The following is a 19686-nucleotide window of genomic DNA, read 5'->3' as shown; positions in this document are numbered from 1 at the left end:
ACTAAAAAAAAAACACAAAAAATTAGCCGGGTGTGGTGGTAGGTGCCCATAATCCCAGCTACTCAGGAGGCTGAGGTGGAAGAATTACTTGAACCCAGGAGCTGGAGGTTGCTGTGAGCTGAGATTGCCCCACTGCACTCCAGCCTGAGCAACAGAGCGAGGCTCCCGTCTCAAAAAAAAAAAAAATTACAGTTAGCATGATTGCTTATTTTCTGAATGTAAAAAGTTCTTTTTCTGGTTATTATTTACATGCTGATTGGAAAAACTTCATAAAATAAAAAATATCAATGAGAATCCTACCACCCAGATATAATCACTTTAATTTTCTATTCATATTCGCATATATGGATATACATATATATATATATATGGGATCATACTCTGTATCTATTGAGAGGGCATTAATCTGCATGTATAATTATTTAACAACCAGAGATTCATTTTTCTTCCTAGCTAGACTACCTATGGTGGCTGGCCGTGGTTCACTGGTTCAACAATGTTAGGTCCAGCATCTCTGTGAATCTCTTGGAATTTCCCTCATGACTGCAAGACAGCTGCTGCAGCTCCAGCCACTACATCTGTTTTCAATGCCTGCAAAGGCAGTCACTTCTGCATTTTTATTATAAAAGCAAAAACTTCAGAAAGTGACCCCCAACAGATTTCTCTTTAGGTCTTACTGGCCAGAACTCGATCTCAGGACCACCTCCAGCAGCAGAGAAAAGGATTGTCATGATTGGCTTTGGACCAATCACAATTCATTGACTGAAAGTGGGGATGTGGTCCTCACTCACAAACAAAATCAAGGAAGGAGGGAATTAACAATGTCTGTTACAGCATGCATGCTGTTTTATAATCTGCTCTCTTTCTCTTAATTATACATTACAAAATCTGTCCACATCAAAATATATAGACTCACTCACTCATTTAACAACAATTTATTGAGAGGATACTGTGTTCCAGGAACTTAACTAAGCACTGAGGGCACAATAATGAACGTAATAGAGTCCTTGCCTTCACAGAGCTTAGCGTCCAATGAAGGAGATAGAAATTCATCAAAGAAATTCACAAAGAAATGTAAAATTATGATGGTAATAAATGCTACAAAGGAGAGAGATCTGTGGTGCTGTGAGAGTGGTGATAGGGGATTTGATTCAATCAGGAGGGTCACTGTTTTGAATGGCCGTGTATCTGTCCCTTGCATAGCTGTGGCATGATGTCTTAGCCAGTCTCCTGTTGCTGAACATTGAGATTCTTTCCACATTTCATCTACCATCATCAACGCTATGATAAACTGCCTTCTGTAAGTATAGTCTAGCACAGTTGTCTGATTTCTTCCTTAGGGTAAATTATCAGGATAAAGCCAGGCACTGTGGTGTGCTCCTGTAATCCCAGCTACTCAGGAGGCTGAGGCCAGAGGATCACTTGATCCAGGAGTTTGAGACCAGCCTAAGCAATACGGCAAGACCTTGTCTCAAAACAACAAACAAACAACAACAACAACAACAAAACTAGAATAAATGAGCAAGTCCTACATGTGGAATTGCTGAATCAAGGGGCAGCCCCCTGTGAAGGCACTCACAGAAAAGCTGCCACCACTCCCATTCACATCAGCAACGTCAGAAAGAGCTCTGTTCCTCCACATTCTGCCAGCTCCACCTATTATTATCTTTATTACATCATCTTTACAAAATGATGCCAGTGTTATGGGTGAAACATAGCTTCTTGTTTTAATTTGCATTCCCCTGAGGTTAACCATGTTTTCATTTGTTTCTTTTGTGGGATCACAGATATTTCCAGTGGATGAATTCCCTTTCTTTTCCTGTCTGATTTCTAGTTCTCTCTCTCTGTCTCTCTCTCTCCATCTGTCTCTCTCTCTCCGTTAGGAACTGTAACCTCTTTCAGACATGTTCCTACCCATTCTTTGGGCAGCTCTCAGCACTGCAAAGCCCTCCTTCCATGGAAACTGTAGCTTTGTCCTTGTCCATCACTGGGGCCTTCCATGTGCTCCAGGGCAACAACCACAGCCCGCCCTGGTCCAGTCCCCAGTCACTCACTCACCCACGTCTTCTCCAGCCACCCTCCGCTCCTATTCTAAGCTCAGTTCACACCTACCCCAGGTCAATCCTGGAACGTGGTGGGGTGGCTCAGGGCTGGAGGCTTCGCCCAAGCTGTTCTCCCTCCCTGCTCTTCCCTAGCGAATCCTTCAGGACATAGCTTGGTGGGAGTTCCTCTCTGAGAAGCTCCTGCCGACTCTCCAGGTGGGGTCAGATCCCCGCCGTGCTTCCCTCTGCTCAGCACTGACCTGTCACTGTTCACTCTGCAGTTAGCCCGGGGTAGTAGAGGTTCCCCCAAGACAAGCATGGGTCAGATGCATGTCTCTTCCCCCAGTACCTAGCACAGGGGGTGGCACAAAGCAGGTGCATAGTGTTTGTGGTTAGAATAAATGAATAAGTGAACAAATGAATGAACACATGACTAGATAAAATCTAGCCCTCCTTACCCCCAGGCTTGCTGATCTGATCCCCAAAGCCTGGTCTCATCCACCTACCCACCACACCGTGTCTGCTCTTCTCCGGGATGTGCAGGGACTATCTGCAGAATCACCAGTGGGGCCCATTTTCTGACCTGGGGACTTCCTGAGTCACTGGGGCCCTCATTTGCCCTTGTCCTGGGTCATCTGTGAACTGAGCACTGCCTTGGCCAGGGCCCTGGTGTCTTGGCGGGAAGCAACAGCCTCTGCCACAGGGTTCCCTGCCCTGCTCTGCTGGATTTGTGGTCAGCAAGGAGGAATCCAGGACACCGGCTCTGCAAGCTTCAGTCCTGACCTGGCATCCACCCAGTGACATGAGTGGAAAAAACCTTTCACAGGGCAGGTTGAGAATGAAATCCCTGCCGCAGGGCACAAACCAGCCTTCTTGCCACCAATACGTGCCACCTTTCCCTTTTGTATCTGTTAGTATATGACCTGAATGTTTCTTTCATGTCACTCCTCTGCTCAAGAATCATCAATTAATCCCCCTTGCCCATCAGAACAAATCTGAGCTCCGTGGCAGGAATTCAAGAAGCCCCATGGCCAAGCTGCGGCCTCCCTCTCTGACCCTGTCCTCCACCACTCCAGCCAGGACAGTCTCCTTCTTCCTCCTTCCTTCCCCCAAGGCTTTGCCTATGCCATGCCCTCTGCCTGAGATACCCTCACTCCTTCATTCTACTGTTTTAAGTCCTGGCTTGCAACTCCCACCTCTTCTGGGTTGCCTACCAGCTATCCAATGTTTGATAACTCATTTAAGAAAAACAAACAACTAAGCCCTTCAGCACTTAAGAATCACCAGGCTTGCTTATGCAAAACCCAGGCCATCCCAGACTTTTCTGAGGATGGTTCTAGGACACTAGATTTTTAAAGTTTCCCAGGAGAGTCTGATGCCACCAGCCCAGCTGGGTCCATTGACAGGCACTTGGAAGCACTGACGATACAAAGCTCGAATTATACATGTGCTTGGATGACACAGTGCTTGTAGGCTTGAACGACCCAGGTGCACATGGGCACCTGATGTCTACACATTGTAACATCATCTCTGCAGGCAACACTAACAATGATAACTGACTTTACTGGGGGCTCACCAGGTGCTAGGCACATGCTACACTCAATATGCATGATCTCATCCAATCTTCACAACATGCCTATTGGGTCGATATCACTAACCTCAATTTATTAATAAGGAAATTGAGGGCCAGAGAGGCTAAGTCTCCTGGCCAAAGTCACAGAGCTGGCCAGTAGGGAAGCCTAGTCTCAAACCCAGCGCTGTTTACTCCAAAGCTGGTGCTCCTCAGCCCTGGGCTAGGAGTCCATGCCCCTGGGCCATGAGCCTTCAGAGTGGGCACCCGGTTCGGTTCAATTCTGTTCCACCAGCACTACTGTTCCTTGCTTTTGCTAAGTCCTGGGGATAGAAGTATTGGCGGGGAAGAGGCCCCTGTCCTTGAAGGACCTCCCAGTCCATGTGGGGAGACTGGTACTCACACAGCTAGTCATTCAGAAGTGCTGGGGACAGAGCGGGGCACACAGTTTAGGAGGGATTCGGAGGAGAGGGTGCAGTGGAGATGGATTCCACCGTGGAAGGGGAGAGCAGGGCTAATTCAGGCTCCAGGGAACAGGTAGGGTTTGAGGGATGACAGAGAAGGGGATGAAGGGCACCTGGGTGGAGGGAACAGCATGAGCCAAGGCAGGGTGGCTGGAAAGGTGAGGATGCCGGGGCTGCTGCACGGGAGCACATGGCAGATGATTCAGCTGGATGGGGCAGTTGGGGCCAGATCATGAAGGGCCTCAAATGCCAGCCTGAGGAATCTGAATTTTATCTTGTGGGCAATAGGCAGTCATGGAAGATGTTGCAGGGGGGTGTCTCCCTCCACACTAGCACAGGGAGATGCTCAGTGGAACCTTGCTGCCTGACTTATTGATACTGATTTTTCTCCTGTCCCACTAGGGTCAGAATGGCCTGGGGCTACTGGATGATTCCTGGCAGGAACAGAAAGCCCTGCAGCTCTACCTCCTCTCCTCCATTTAGCTCTTCTCCGCAAGGATGGGCAAATTATTCAGCTTCTCTGAGCCTCAGTTCCTCATCTATAAAATGGGGACAGCTGGGTGCAGTGACTCACACCTGTAATGCCAGCACTTTGGGAGGCTGAGGCGGGTAGATCATCTGAGGTCAGGGGTACAAGACCAGCCTGGCCAACATGATGAAACCTCATCTCTATTAAAAATACAAAATTAGCTGGGTGTGGTGGCAGGCGCCTGTAATCCTAGCTACTTGGGAGGCTGAGGCAGGAGAATCACTTGAACCCGGGAGGTGGAGGTTGCAGCAAGCTGAGATTGCGCCATTGCACTCTAGCCTGGGCAACAAGCGCAACACTCCATCTCAAAATAAATAAATAAATACATAAAAATAAAATGGGGACAATACACCAACCTTGCAAGCTGCGAGGATGAAATGAAGAAAAGTGTGCACAGCACAACAGGTGCATTGTTGAGTCTTATGACGTGGACCAGGTGGCATCGTGGGAAGAGCACAGGCTCAGAGGACCTATGTTTGAATATCAGTTTCTCCCCTGGTAATACCCATCTCTCAGGGCAGATGGAAAAATTAAATTCAATGAAATGATTTATGGGAAGCACCTGACACTCAGCAGCTGCCTGGAACCCTGTTTGACACCTGTCTGACAGCACAAGCAATCCTGCTCCTCCTCCAAGCTTCCAGGGTGCTGCCTCTCTCACTCAGCATGCTGCTCCCCTCCTGCCCCACAGGAGGCATTTTATACACCTTAGTCCCTGCACTTGCTGTTGGCTCACCTGCCTCTCAGCACTGGGCACACAGACTTTCTTTACCCCTTGCAAGAAGCTTTTACATGCATCTTCCTCCTGGTGAATGCACTCACCTATTGTTTTATTTATAGGCAGGACAGTGGCTCCCTGATGCATAGATGAGGGAAGAGACCCAGAGAGGGAAGAAGACCACCACTGTCTAAGCACCTAAATGTGCCTGAGGCATTATACCCAGTTCTTCTCCACAAAAGCCCAAGAGGGAGGTATTATCCTCCCCACTGCATAAATGTGGACATTGAGGCTCTGAGAGGGGCTGTGACTTGTCCAAGGCCACACAGCAAGGAACTGGCTGAGGCTGAAGGTAAAACCAGGTCTTTCTGATTCTGGAGCCTGGGATTTATAACAAACATTTGCAATGTGGGGTCGACAGATCGGTCCCCCAGGGCTGTTTCACGGACTAGATAGGGTAATAGGGGTGACGGTGTCTTGCATGGTGACAGGCACACAGTGCTCAGGGACTGGGAGCAGAAGTGGAATCTTGCCCACCCTCACCCAATTTTACAGAGAATAGAGGAGCCCAGGGAGGGCTGTGATGTACCCAAGGTCATGGCGAGCGGTCGGCAGAGCCCAGGTTCCCTGCCCCTGGGCCCCCTGCCTTCCCTTGCCCACCCTTTCCAGTTAAGGGCAGGGGCCATCCCTCCAGGGCCTTTCCCTCTCCAGAGGGTGGAAACTTCCAGAGTCCCTCCAACCTGACAGGAGAGTGACCAAGAGCAGGAATTTTCACCCTGGCACACACACCTGGAGCCTGGAGCTGAACGCTAGAATCCCAGGCTTTGCCACCCCAAAAGGCCCCTCCTGACCCTTTCAGAGCCTCCCAGCCTTCTCCCCAGGACCTTCACCAGCACCTTGCCCCTCTCCCAGTGGAGAGGGGGTGCCCCAGAGGCTCTGATGCTCTTAGAGGGGACTGCAAGTTGGCAAGGCCAGGGGCATGAAGCACAGTGTTTTATGATTTTATTTTATCCTAGATAAGGTTGAAGAAGACACCCAGTCATAGAATGAGCCCCGCCTCCTGACAGCAGCCGGTTCAGAGCAAAGGCCTGCTTCTTAAACCCTCGCCAAGCCACTGAGCACTGGCCCAAATCCAGTAACAAGTCCTTTCTAATACCTCTTTCAGAGACTCCCCCTGGTTCGCTGTGGTGTTCATTCCCCCTTACTGCAAGAAGAAACCCAGCTTGTTAACCACAGGTGAGGTGTGCTCCCAGTGGTCTTTGGCTGCAGGGCATTGACAAGATAGGTCCCATCAAACACCCCCATCACTTCCAAGATTCCAAGATATGCGCACTTCATCTGTCATTTGCACATGAGAAAGCTGAGGGCTACGGAGGCAACCAGACTTGTCAAAGGTCACAGAGTAGGTAAGGTAACATTGTATCATCCAAATGAGGTATCTTCGAGCGTGAAAGGGGCCTCCTAATAACTTAGCAGAGGCAGTCGGTGTCAACCGGGACCTTCCTGGGCAGATCAGGTGTGTGGTCTCCCCATCATGCAGCAAGAGCCAGGGAGACCAAGCCTGGGTCTCACCATCTCACTCCACTACCCCAAGCCCCCTGCAGATGCTAACTCTAGAACAGGGTTACCATCTTCCTGCTGGCAGGCCCAGCAACCAGAGGCTCTTGTTTAAGTCTAAAGCCACTGCGGTTGTGGTTCAGGGGTGTGGGGAATCACTCCTGAGATTCAGCACCACACAGCACACCCCACGGTCATGCCACTGCAGTGAGGGCTTACTTCCGGAAGAGGGCCTCTGGTGCCCGTCAGGCGTAAGGCCTCACGTATCCTGCCCCGAGGGAAGGGGTGGTTTTAAAGAAAAGAATTTGCAGGTGAATGAAGATGACCCCTTTAAATGTTGAAAGTAGTTTTATTTTAGCCCTTAGTGCTGACGCTGTTTCTAACGTGGGTTGTAGGCTGCCCTGCCTTAGGCAACAGAGCACAGGAGCATGCTACCCCTCACCTCATCCGAAGACTCAGCTGTGACCAGGAACTCCTGTCCTGAGTCATGACAGCAGAGAGGGTGTACCCTGTGGCATCCTTCACTGCAGAGGCAGAAATGACCCAGAAAGAAAAGGAAGTGTGTTCCCAGGGCCATGACCTTGTAACCCAGCACACAGGGGCATCTCCTTCCCTAGGCCAGGACCCCCGGCCTCAACCCGGAAGCCCTTCCCTAGGCCGGGAACCCCAGCCTCAACCCAGAACCCCATAGCCCAGGTGAAGGTCTCTGACTCCCAGGTGGCCCAGGGTGCAGGCTCTGAGGGCGTGGTCCTGGTTTGAGGTAGTGTTACTGCCATTTTCTCTGCAGCTGCCAGGATCCTGGGCTGGGGCACAGGCAAGCGTTGCAGGGATCAGCGTAACAATAGCATCACCCTGAGATGGTTCAATAGGGTACAGTGATGTCTTCAGGGGCTGCAAAGACAGCTTGAGCTATTTCCCCACCATACTCAACTGCCCCAAACAGCTGGGAGGCTGTCACTCTTCTGCCTCTGGTGTGTCCATTTTTTACTTCTCTGTTCCCACCTCAGCTTCTGCTCTGCACTCACAGAAATCAAGCTCACTAGATTGTGAGCCCTCTGAAGGCAAGCACGGTGTCAGTAGTTCATGTCTCTTTACCCCTAGAGATCACAGCTCAATATCTGGCATATAGTAGATGCTCACTAAATGCCATCCAATTCCAATTGTTTTGTTTTGAGGCAGGGTCTCACTCTGTCACCCAGGCCGGAGTGCAGTGGTGCGATCTCGGCTCACTGCAACTTCCATCTCCTGTGCTTAAGCTATCCTCCAGCTCAGCCTCCCAAGTAGCTGAGACTACAGGTGTGCACCACCACGCCCAGCTAATTTTTGTAGTTTTAGTAGAGATAGGGTTTCGCTATGTTGCCCAGGCTGCTCTCCAACTCCTGGCCTCAAGTGATCCACCCACTTTAGCCTCCCAAAATGCTCAGATTACAGGCATGAGCCACCGCACCTGGCTAGCCAACTGATTCAAACTGAAGTAGGCCAGGAAGATGAATTTCACCTACAATTCCAAGTCAAAGCAAATGTATTCCAGAGGCAGGGGTGGGGGGTGGTGTTCCTCTGGGGGCTTTTTGCCTGCTTTGTGAATACATACAGGCCATTTAGAAGTTTGAATGCTGGGAAGTAAGAGGGCTGTGAGTCTAAAAGTTGGGAACGTGGGGGAGAGTGATTTTATCTGCAACAGGTTCCTGGGTCCTGGTGAGTTCTGTACACCCTTGATGACCACCGATTCTGGGCCAGGCCAAAGGCCCATCTGGGCACAGGCGATCTCAAGGTGAGTAAAGTCAAGATGCTGCCCTTCAACGGGAGGCAGGCAGCCATGCCACACTGACAAATATACAGGTCCCAAAGGCAGCGCAGAGAGGCAAGACCACCTGGTTCCAGGAGGCAGCGACATCAGGAAAACCTTTCCAAGGGAGGTCATCTGTGTAGGGGTTTGAAGGGTGAGCACGAATTTGCCAAGCTGAAAAGGGAGCCAAGGGCATCCTGGTGGAGGAGAACAGCTTGGGCAAGAGTGTGAGCCGCAAGATGGGCAGGGGGGCTAGGCTTGGAACTGGAGGAGCAGAGAGAATGAGGTCAGCAGGGGTCAGTCACAGAAGGTTTTGGGTCCTGGCCAAGGAGCGATGGGAGCTGCAGGAGGAATGTGGCCCAGGAGGAGATGAGGCTCCCTCTGTGTAAAGACGGATCACGCCATCTACCAAGTGGACTATAAGACACAATAGGAATGGGAAACCTGACTGGCCTTCACAAAGGATCAGGGGCCCAGAGGGAGCACCAAGGAAGGTTCCTCTCAGAGGTCAGCTTTGGGGGAAGGTGGAAAATGCTTTTGAGGGCTTCAGCTGCTGCAAACCTCAACAAATCATATTTTGCCTTCAAAGGTTGGCCAAAGACCACTAACTATTGGAAAAACAAGAGTCCACTAATAGTCATCATCCCCTCCCTGTGTATTTCTTTACCATTCTCAAAATGCCACCATCTCATTGAACCTCCATATCATCCCATTTTGCAGATAGGGAAACTGAGGCCCTGTGATGTCACACAGGGGTCAGCAGCAGTTCCAGACTAGAAGCTACGGAGCACAAACATCTCAGCCTTGGGTGTCAGGCTCAAAACCCAGCTCCTTGTCCGGGAGGAGGTCCCCGGCTCCATCTGGCAGCCCATAGTACAGGTCTTCCTCTTCCTTCTCAGGTTCCTCCCCACCTGTGTCCGAAGCCTCCTTCTCCTCCACCTTTGTCCTTGGGTACCGCTGCCAGTTGTTGGGCAGGGCTATTTCCCACTGCTGCCCCTCTTGGGGCTCATCCTCCAACGTTGGGGCATCAATCAGGGCAAAGTCTTGGAAGCGGTCCAGCGGGCACCTGCAGCCCTGAGGTTCCTGTTGTGGGGAACAAGCTTCCTCCCTGTCATGTGGAGATGCATTGGGGCTGCTGCCTTCACTGGAGTCCATGTCCAGGTCATCTTGGAAGGAAGCCAAGGGGGCAGGGCCCTGGGGACAGGCCAGGGGGCTGCAGGGACAAAGACCACAAGGGCAAGGGTATCTCTGAGTCAGAATGCCTGGGTCCACATTCCAGCCGCTAGCTGCAAGACCTAGGGTAGGATAATCCACCTTCCCGGGCCTCAGTTTCTTCCCAATAACAGAATTCACTCCTGCAGTTCTTTCTTAGGTTTACAGCAGATAATATGTGCAAGGCACTTTGCACAGTGCCTGGCACATAGAAGGTGCTCATGAAATAGGGCTATTACTATGCTATTATCTGAACCAGGTCACTCATCTACTTCTCCAATTATTCAGGGTTCTCCTCTGTTGCTCATAGGCCCAGTTACACTGAGGTGTCCCCGGGTGTCTTTGCCTCCCTCATTGGACTCAGAGCTCCTCAGGGGTAGATTCCAGTGAAGGCTGGGCAGGAAGTTGGTGCTCAGTAATGTGGATGGAATGAATAAGTACATGGATGAATAAGGAGCTCAGTTCACAAACAGACAGGGATGGGAGTGGAGTGGGGAGGGCCTTGCCCAAGGTCACAGAGCAGGTCAGCAGCAGACCCAAATTTGAACTCGGGTCCTCTGGCTCCTGGCCCCCTGCTACTCACGACAAGCATTCAGAGACATCAAGGGCCTACTGTATGCCAGGTACTTAAATGCACTGTCCCAACCCTCAACATTCCTGGGTAGTAGGAATGATCATCCCTGTGTGGGGAAACTGAGGCTAGGGAAAGTAAGGAACCTACCACAGCTACACAGCACAGGAGCTGGGGTTTGAACTGAGGCCTGACTCCCAAGCCCATACTCATTTGTCTGCCACATCTGCCACATCTCAGGGTGTCCCACACCCTCCACTGCCCTCTCCTTACCCCCAGTGTCCCCACCCACCCCTCGGCGGTCCCCCACTCCTCTCCTTTTTAACCCTTGAACTGGGCAGAAGCCCCACTCCTGCCCTCTAAGCACTCACCCGGGCCAGCTCTGAGTTAGGCGTCTTTCCCCTTCACTCTCGTCTGAGCCCTTGTGGATGACCACGGCAGCCTCCATCCAGGCCTGAACGTCGCCAGGGCCACCTTCTCCTCCATCACTGGTTCCCAGCTTCGGCTGCCCCATCTCAGGGGCCAGCAAGGAGCGGTGGTCCTCACTGTAGCTCATGACTTTCATCTGGATGTGGCTGAAGTCAGGCAGGCTCTGGTCATAGGCGGCTTCCTCCCACAGCCTTACATAGGGCGGCTGGGGACTGGGGCTGGAGTGGGAGAGAGAACAGGCAGGCGGCAAAGAGTCACTCAGCAAACACCAGTGTTCTCCCCGGCCCTGTTTGCTTTGGGTATGTGGTCTCCCCTCACCTCACAAGAAGCCTTTGGGGGATGTTACTGCGCCCGTTTCAGGGATGAGGAGGCTGAGGCCCAGCAAGGTGAGTTAATTAAGTGACAAAGCTCAGGCCTGACCCCAAGTCTGACTCTCTATCCAGTGTTTTTTTCACCTGATGCCTCCAAAGTTAACCACAAGGATGCAATTGCAAAATGAAGACCCGTTAACATTGAGTTTGCCGGGTCCCAGATGGTGGGTAAAGGCTGAATGCTTATCAACCCATTATTCTAAACATTATTCTAAAAAATGCCTTGAGGCAGAAATTCTCATTCCCAGTTTACAGATGAGGACATACCCAGCAATGACAGTCTACAGCAATGGGGAACTCCTTCCTGCCAGGCTCTGTTAGTTGGCTCATCTAACCCTCACCATAATTACAAGAGATACTATGAAGAAACTGAGGCACAGAGTCTCTAACAGACTTGTACCCGGGTGACATGGACCCTAGGTGATAGTACTGGAGCTCCAGATATCATGTTCTCTATGACTGTGCTACAGTCCCTCTGGAAAGTAAGGTTCAGAGACTAGGCCCCTTGCCTAGGGTCACACAGCCGGGAAGTGACTGGGAAGAGCTCAGAACCCAGGGTGGCCGGAGCCCCCACTGTATCACAGGAGCCCACCCCAAGTAACCGGCCCTGAGACGGAGCTCTGGCTGGCCTCCATACCCACAGGGTCTATCCCCTTCCTTCCCACTGAGGCAGTTGTTCACCTTGGGTGCCAGGGGCAGAAAACGCCATTATGAACCCCTTCCCCAAGCAAAGCAGAGATCATCCCTAACCCAGCCGACAGACTCTGGGCTTGAAGCCCGGCCTCCTGAGTGCAGAGTCACAGCCCAGGGGGTTGGTGGTCCCACTGCCTCTCCAGGGCTGGAGCATTCTTGGCTGTGCCATGGGAGCCAGGGCTCAAAACCTCCAGAGAGGGAAGCAGTTTGTGGCCAGATCAGGCCTGAATTCAGGCCCCGCCTCCATCACTGCTGAGTGCAGGCCCCGCCTCCACCACTGCTGAGTGCAGGCCCGGCTTCCATCACTGACTCCCCATGAGGTTTGGGGCTAGTGACTACACTTCTCTGAGCCTCAATCTTCCTAGCTGTATAAAGAGCCTAACACCCCCACCTTACAGGGTTTCTATGAGGACTGAGGGAGTCAGTGCCTGACTCAGTCTCTGGCACACAGAAGGCACTTACTAATGATGACAAACACTCATAGAAGACCTACTGTGTGTCAGGTTCTGTTCTTAGCACTCTGCCTATATTATCTCACTTAACCCTCCCTGAAGCCCTAGGAGATAGGTACTATTAGTATCCCCATTTTACAGACGAGGCAAAGAGAGGTCAGTAGCTTGCTGGAAGTCAGGCAGCGAGTAGGCGGCAAAGCCCTGAGGCTGAGCCTTGGCCACCACCATGCCTCTTGTTTGTCAGTAGTAGAAGCACTTACTCCTGTGACTCTATTGCACTGTATTTCTCACAGTACATTTATTTCATTGTATGATTTGTTTCATGGAGATCTTGTATTCACCGAAACACTGTCTCGTCCCTGACAAGACAAAGTCCCTGGGCCTCAGTTTCCTCATCTGTACAATGGGAATAATAATGCCTAACTCACAGAATTGAGAGTTGAAAACAGTCCATAATTTCTAATACATTCTCAGTAAGTGAGAAGGCAAACAGCCTTCCTGCCCTCCCTCTCACTCTCCTCAGTCAGGGGAGACTGGCCTATGGGGCTTACTCCTCCCCTCCCGAGAGGGCCTGGCACCTACCTCTTCATCTCGGCAGCAAGCCCATTCTCCAGCAGGCCCATGGCCTTTGGGGAGAGGATGCCTTGAAAGTCAGAGTCAGCAGGGACGAAGGTGATCTGCAAGCAAAGGAGAGACAGCCTCTGTGCAGTTGACCAGGGTAGGGGGGCTACTGTCCCCTCAGGGAATTGGCAAACCTCTCCATGAGCTCTGGGAGACAGGCTGCACCACGGAGGCCTCCCTGCTTGACAGGAGAGGGGCCTACTTGGGGCACAGCACCAGCGGGAGGATGGACCTCTGTGCTCCTGCTCCCTTCCTGGTTCTTCATTCACTCTACAAACATTTATTATCTGCTGTGTGCAGGCACTGTCGCAGGCACTAGGAGCAGCAAGGAGTGAAAGAGAACCCTGTCCTTGAGGAGCTCACATCTTTTCATTTCCCAGGGGTCTTCGTCCAGTGCCCAGCACAAGCCTGGCACATAGTAGGTGCTTCATCCATATTTGGTGAATGAGTGGAAAGCAAGTCATTGTCATGTGTTTTTGCCACATGGGCTGCAGTGGGTGACAGAGAAGTTATGCCCGCCAGTCCCTGTCCCTGAACTTTCAGGAATCAAGAGGTCTCTGCAAGTCCAGCCCTAGGTGGGCACTGCGTGGTGCAGTCGGAGGCAGATCATGAAGGAGGCAGTGGGTGAGGGAGAGGAGCTGTGCCTGTGGGATCTGGGAGATGGGGTGAGGATCCCTCCTCTGCCAGATTCTCACTGTGGGCCCTAGGCAGGTCATCTCTCTTCGCAGTCTCTCTGTGCTCCTCTGTATAACGGGGCTACCCTCGAAGAGATACTTGCACAGCCATGTTCAGAGCAGCAGTATTCACAAGAGCCAAGAGGTAGATGCAACCCAAGTATCCACTGATGAATGAATGGATAAACAAAATATAGTCTATCCATATGATGAAATACTATTCAGCCTTAAGGATGGAACTTCTGACACATGCTACAACATCACTGAACCTCGAGGACATTATGCTGAGCAGAAAGACAAATACTGTATGATTCTACTTTTCTGAGGCACCTGGAATAGTCAAATCCATAGAGCCAGAAAGAAGAAAGATGGTTGCCAGGGGCTAGAGAGTGGGATAATGGGGAATTGTGATTTAATGGGTATAGAGTTTTAGCTTTACAAGACAAAAAGCATTCTGGAAATTGGTTGGATGACAATGTGAATGTACTTAGCTGTACTGTACACTTAAATATGTTTAAGACACTAACTTTTATGTTACGTGTATTTTACCATGAGTTTTAAAATGGGGCTAGTTACGCCAGTCTCCTGAGGTTGCTGTGAAAATTTCATGAGATCATATATAGGGAATCCCTCAGCATGGTCCCCAGCACATAGTAACTACTCAGTAAATCATAACTTGATGCTATTGATGATTCAGTTGTCTGACTTCTCTGAGTCTTGCTCTCCTCGGCTGAAAATTTTTCCAATAAATATTTGTTGAGACCCCACTGTATTATACCAGATTCATAAATAGCACTTCCCTATTCCCCTTCCCATAGAGCAAAGTGAGTAGAAGACACTTGTCTGCACTAGGAAAGCTCCATTCTGATGGGGAGAAGGGAATGATGGATGGAGGGGGCCTTTGTACTCCTATGAGGAGTGCGCTTTCTCTAGATGTCCAGAAATAAAACAGAGCTCCTGGGCAATGAAGAAAGACGCTGTCTCTACAAAAAAAATAAAAAAATTAAATAACAAATTTAGCTGGATGTGGTGGTGTGAGCCTGTCATCCCAGCTACTTGGGAGACTGAGGCAGGAGGATTGGTTGATCCCAGGAGTTCGAGGCTGCAGTGAGCTATGATTGCACCTCTGCACTCCAGCCTAGGTGACAGACTGAGCTCCTGTCTCTTAAAAACAAAAAAGAAAAGGAAAGAAATAAGGCAGGGGCCTGGGCTTCTTCCACCCCCGTTAAGGATGCTTTGTACTTCCCAGCTAGTACTGTACTTCCTAGAAGCTGCCTCTTCCTCTGCCTCATTACCTCATGGCCCAGTCAGCACCATCATCATCACCGTCACCATCATCATCACCGTCACCATCATCATCACTATCATCATCATCATCATCATCACCATTGTCACCATCACCATCCTCACCATCATTATCACTATTATCATCATCACCATTATCACCATTACCATTCTCACCATCACCATCCTCATCATCACCATCTCCTAATCACCATAATCATCACCATTGTCACCATCACCATCCTCACCATCATCATCTCATAATCACCATCTTTACCATCATCATTCTTATCAGCACCATCACTAACATCATCATCATCATCATCACCATCACCATTCTCACCCTCACTATCCCCACTGCACTCTCATTATCACCATCATATCATCATCACCACCCTTAGGAAAAGCTTGGAGAAGGAAAGGATGGGGCATCTTAAAATGCAAGTTTTTTGATGAGGAGGGACAGGCAGAGTTGAAGCTGGAGAGAGGATATCAGACCATGGAGACCACCAGAACACCAAACTAAGAAGCTTAGCCTTTCTCCAGATGCAATGGGGAGTCCTGAAGGACTCTCAGCAAGAGAGTACACTGTCAGATTTGTGTTTAGGCAGAACACTGAGCAATCTCCAGAGAGAGGGAGGCCACCAGTCAGGACCCTGGTCCTGGTCTCCAGCACAGCAGGCAGGAGTGAGGAATGGGGGATGCGTGGGCAGAGACCCTGCTCTCCCTGCCACTCCTTTCCCTGCTCACAGCTCCCCTGCCCCATCTTCACTAATGGGCTCAGCACCTCCAACTGTCCCATCCACTAGATTTGCCCTGATCCCTTCTCCTCTCTCATGCCTGAGGCCCAGCTGACCACCAAATCTGACCAGGTCTACTTCAGAAATTCAATAAGATAACCTGGGTGGAAGTGCTGGTGCTATGCCTAGCCACAACGGGTACTCTATGTGAAGTGAACTGTAAATGTCACCTTAGTTCCTACAGCTTTGTGTTTGAATTCTGCATTATTCCAGATGACTGTCAGCTCTCACCAAGACCAGAGAAGAAGCCTCCCCACTGGTATGGCTGCCCCCAGACCTTCCTTCTTCTGGATGTCTTTCTCAAACTGCAAAGCTGGTCGTGTCCCATTAACTAAAGGACAAGCTCCAAATTCCTTACCATGGCATCCCAGGCCCTGAAGAGTTGAGCCCCACTCCCTCGCTACCTTTACCTTCCTCCCCTCTGCCTCTCGTAGCCACAATGGCCCACTTGCCTTATTCTTTTACCACATTGCTTTGATCATGCTACTCTTCTGCCTGGAATGTCTTTCCCCATCTTCTCTGCTTGGTGAACTCTTATCTCACCTACAAAGCCCAGCTCACCTTCTCTGTGAAGCCTGTTTCCTCCCCATCAGGCAGCAAATAGCCTCTCCCACTAGACCTCTAGCCCCTAAAAGACATGGACAGCTTAATGCATGTTGGTATTGGCTACCCCTCACCCCTATATCCTAATTAGCTAATTCTATTCCCTTATATTTATATCTCCCCATTTATCAAAACTTTCCATAGGTCTGGCACAGAGAGCCACGGGGAGGAGGCTGAGGGGAGGACAGGCAGGAGCACTGCAGGCAGCGTTGGCCCAGGCACCAATGAGACCAAGCAGGATCCAGGGAGCTTCGCCTCTAGAGTGTCTCCCTGGTTTATAAGGTGCTTTCCTCCCTTCCCTTATTGGAGTCAATTTGTGCTGGCTCTACCAGCCTGCATCTCTGAAACACACACTCACACACACCTGCACTCATGCAGAGGCCCACCCAGTGCCGCAAATACCAATCCTCAATCCTAAGAACAATGCCTTCACATATGTTCCATGGCAGGTGTGATGCCAGGTCTCCCCCAACACACACACACACACACACACACACACACACACACACACACACGATCCCACTGTGTTCTCCCAATCAGCCGTACAAGGCTCAGAGCTGAGGGGGAGGGACTCTTTCTGCCAAGGTCACAGAAGTGGGACATGAAGGAGCAGGGATTTGAATCTGGGCCTGGAGGTTGCCACAACATGTGCCATTTTCAGCCCACCACGCTGCCTCCACAGCACGTGAACCCATGAATCTATCAACAGTTACTCATTAATACCCAGCAATATTCCCTCCTCCCCTCCCCTCCCCTCTACCGTCACTCCCATCAGCCTACCAACCATCCCAGAGCCAGCTCTATTTAAGAGCGGGGGCAGGAAGGATGCTCCTCTCCACACCTCTGCCATCCCTCTGCTGTCCCCCAGGGTCCAGCCTCCTCACTGGGAGAAGGATTATAATAGCAGTGGTGACATGAGTGGCTTTGGCCCCAAGGACTTCTCCCAGTGACCTCTGCTCAAGGAATTGCACAGACAGAGGCAAGTTGACTGTAAACTGCCTGCTAAATGACTACAAACCAGCCCAGACCGCTCCAGCACTGAACAGAATGACAGCCCAGGGTTGGCCCGTGGAGGGGGCAGGGCTGGGGAGAGCCGGCCCAGGCCCCAGGGAGCCATCCCCCTTCTTCCCTGAAACCCTGAGCACAGCCACCCAGGTGGGAGGAGAGGAGGTGTGGGGGTTGCTGAGGACTGCCTGGACCTGGAGCCCTAGATATTAGGTCCAGCAGGGCCCCCAGATATACCCCCTTTCCCACCCCCCCCTCCTAACTCACACAGTGTACAAATGAGGAAACTGAGGCTCAGAGAGGAAAGGGGCTTGAGCAAAGTCTCCCAGGCAGTAAGAGACAGAGCCCAAGTTAGAGTCCCTATTTCCCTCCTTTTCTCCCTGGGTCTGTACCTGACCAGCTGTGTGACCTTGGAAGTCACCCAGCCTCTCTAGGCATTGAAGATTCGCAACTCCTGGCATTTCCATTCCACAGAGCTGTTGGGAGGATCAGTATGGGTAACAGTGGTAGCCCTTCATCTATAAATAACACCTTACAGTTTACAAAATATTCCTATATCTTATCTCTTCTCTGATCTTTATAATGACCCTGTGAAGCTCTGTGGAAAATAGGGGCAGGGATCTCATTTGCAGATGAAAAAAATGAGGCTCAGAAAGACAAAGGTCATAGAGAGTTTGGAACAGGACTTGAACTAGAACTCAGGACTCCCAAACCAGTGCTCTTCCCATCACTAAATTACACATAAGGCTGAGAATACATGAAGACTCTAAAGGATACTGCCCAGTGCATGCCACCAAGGTTAGACCTGACCTACCCTGGAGCTCTCAGTCGCTCTGGGACCCAGAGGTAGAAGACCCAAGGTGAAGGGTGACGTGTAAGTCACACGCATCTGAGCTCCAAACCTTGCTCGTTAGCTGTGCAGCCTCTCTTTCTGGACCTCAGAAAGGCTCAGAAGGTGGAACTACAGAAAGCACCAAAAGGCTTAGGATGAGGGCTGAACTGCACCCTGAACGCAGGAGTGCCTGGCAGGGGGTCAGCGCTCATTAGCTTTTGTTTCAAGCACATGGTGTGTTGTGTTTGCTGTGTCTATACCATAGCTTCCGGCTCAGGGCTCCAGATCCAGGGGCCTTCTGATCAACCCTTAGGCTAAGGGATGGATGGATGGATGGATGGATGGATGGATGGATGGATGGGACAGACGCTCAGGAGAGCAGAGAGAAGACCGAGTCAAAATGAGAAGAATGAAAAGACAACTAAAGGATAGGGGGTGAGGCATGGCATACAGGCACAGTGTCCAGCCCTCCTGGCCCCAGCTGACCTGGCCCCACCCAGCCCCACTACCACCTACCTTGGGGTAGCACTGGCACATGCTCCAGATGATGCCCCCGATCACCATGACGCTGCCCATGGCATAGAAGGTGCCGTAGACCTGGGGCCGATCATGGCTCATGAGGAACGTACCGAGGGCCAGCAGGAAAAGCCCCAGCACAATGAAGCCGATCCGGAAGGTCTTCTCGTCAGCCATGGCTGCCTGGCCAGTCCCTGGCCTGCACACCCCCGGGAGAGGGGGTGGCTGTAGTTCAGCCTAAACACCGAGACAGGCTTACACAGGGAGAGAAGACACTGAAATCGCTGCAACTCAAGGCTTCAAGGGAGAGCAAGATCCCTTTCAATCCCGCTCCAGTCCCTGGGCCCACCAGTTCAACAGGGCTGGAGGCGGCTCGCTTCAACGGACCCACACCCAGCCACCTTTACTCCTTGCCCTCTCACCTTCCCTCTGGGCCCGGCTGGCCTGGAGTGTGTGTGTGAATCTGAGCGAGGGAGCACACAGGGGAGGGAGAGTGGGAGGTTACCGGGGCTGGGCCCCAGCCAAGGCTTTGACATCACCTCATTTGCCTACTGTGGGGTTGAGCTGGGTGGACAGGCAGCCTCACACCTTCCAGCTCTAGAAAACAGGGTACAGTTCTGCAGCTGAGAGCTGTTAGAATGCTATTGGAGGATTCCAGGATCCCACAGGCTGGCATTTCAGAATCCTGAAGAATTCTACACTCTTCAAGGACATGTGCCTATCCAGGGTTCAGGAATAATGGCCCATATGTACTGGCTGGTGACTATGTGCAGGGCACCATTCTAAACATGTTACAGCTATTAACTCATTGAAGGGAACCCAGTGAAGCAGCTACTACTATCCCCACTTTACAGAGGACCCTCGGGCACAGACAAGTAACTTGCCCAAGGTCACACAGCTAAAGATGGCAGAGCTAGTGGGATGTGAAGCCAGAGGCCGTGGGCCTAGCCACGGCGT

At 51.2% G+C, this 19686-nt stretch overlaps 1 protein-coding gene across 1 annotated transcript, besides 2 other annotated features; it reads right to left on the bottom strand.

Moving 5' to 3' along the window:
* On the bottom strand, positions 921-19160 carry BSND (barttin CLCNK type accessory subunit beta). Its single transcript, NM_057176.3, has 4 exons — positions 18730-19160; positions 12977-13071; positions 10821-11096; positions 921-9879 (listed from the first exon to the last, which is right to left on the bottom strand). Exons 1-4 carry the CDS (start codon positions 18904-18906, stop codon positions 9465-9467), a joined length of 963 nt encoding a protein of 320 aa, NP_476517.1. The 5' UTR covers positions 18907-19160; the 3' UTR covers positions 921-9464.
* Positions 16979-17479: an enhancer, noted in NCBI's record as "H3K4me1 hESC enhancer chr1:55466287-55466787 (GRCh37/hg19 assembly coordinates)". NCBI's record gives its function as "activates a minimal SCP1, AML or CMV promoter by ChIP-STARR-seq in primed H9 embryonic stem cells {active_cell/tissue: H9 hESC(primed)}" and the evidence as "EXISTENCE:reporter gene assay evidence [ECO:0000049][PMID:30033119]".
* Positions 19118-19167: an enhancer, noted in NCBI's record as "active region_1070". NCBI's record gives its function as "activates an Ori minimal core promoter by ATAC-STARR-seq in GM12878 lymphoblastoid cells {active_cell/tissue: GM12878}" and the evidence as "EXISTENCE:reporter gene assay evidence [ECO:0000049][PMID:35858748]".

This window comes from Homo sapiens, chromosome 1, assembly GCF_000001405.40.
Source record: "Homo sapiens chromosome 1, GRCh38.p14 Primary Assembly".
Taxonomy (NCBI): domain Eukaryota; kingdom Metazoa; phylum Chordata; class Mammalia; order Primates; family Hominidae; genus Homo; species Homo sapiens.
This window is presented reverse-complemented; position numbering and strand designations above follow the sequence as displayed.

What these genes read in the sequence shown, in the direction of transcription:
- BSND (NM_057176.3), bottom strand. Translation starts at nt 18,906, where the DNA reads ATGGCTGACGAGAAGACCTTCCGGATCGGCTTCATTGTGCTGGGGCTT. An exon ending in TGTGCCAGTGCTACCCCAAG is followed by an intron (nt 13,072 to 18,729) that starts GTAGGTGGTAGT and finishes CTTTGCTTGCAG; the next exon opens with ATCACCTTCGTCCCTGCTGA. An exon ending in CTTGCTGCCGAGATGAAGAG is followed by an intron (nt 11,097 to 12,976) that starts GTAGGTGCCAGG and finishes CTCCCACTCCAG; the next exon opens with CCCCAGTCCCCAGCCGCCCT.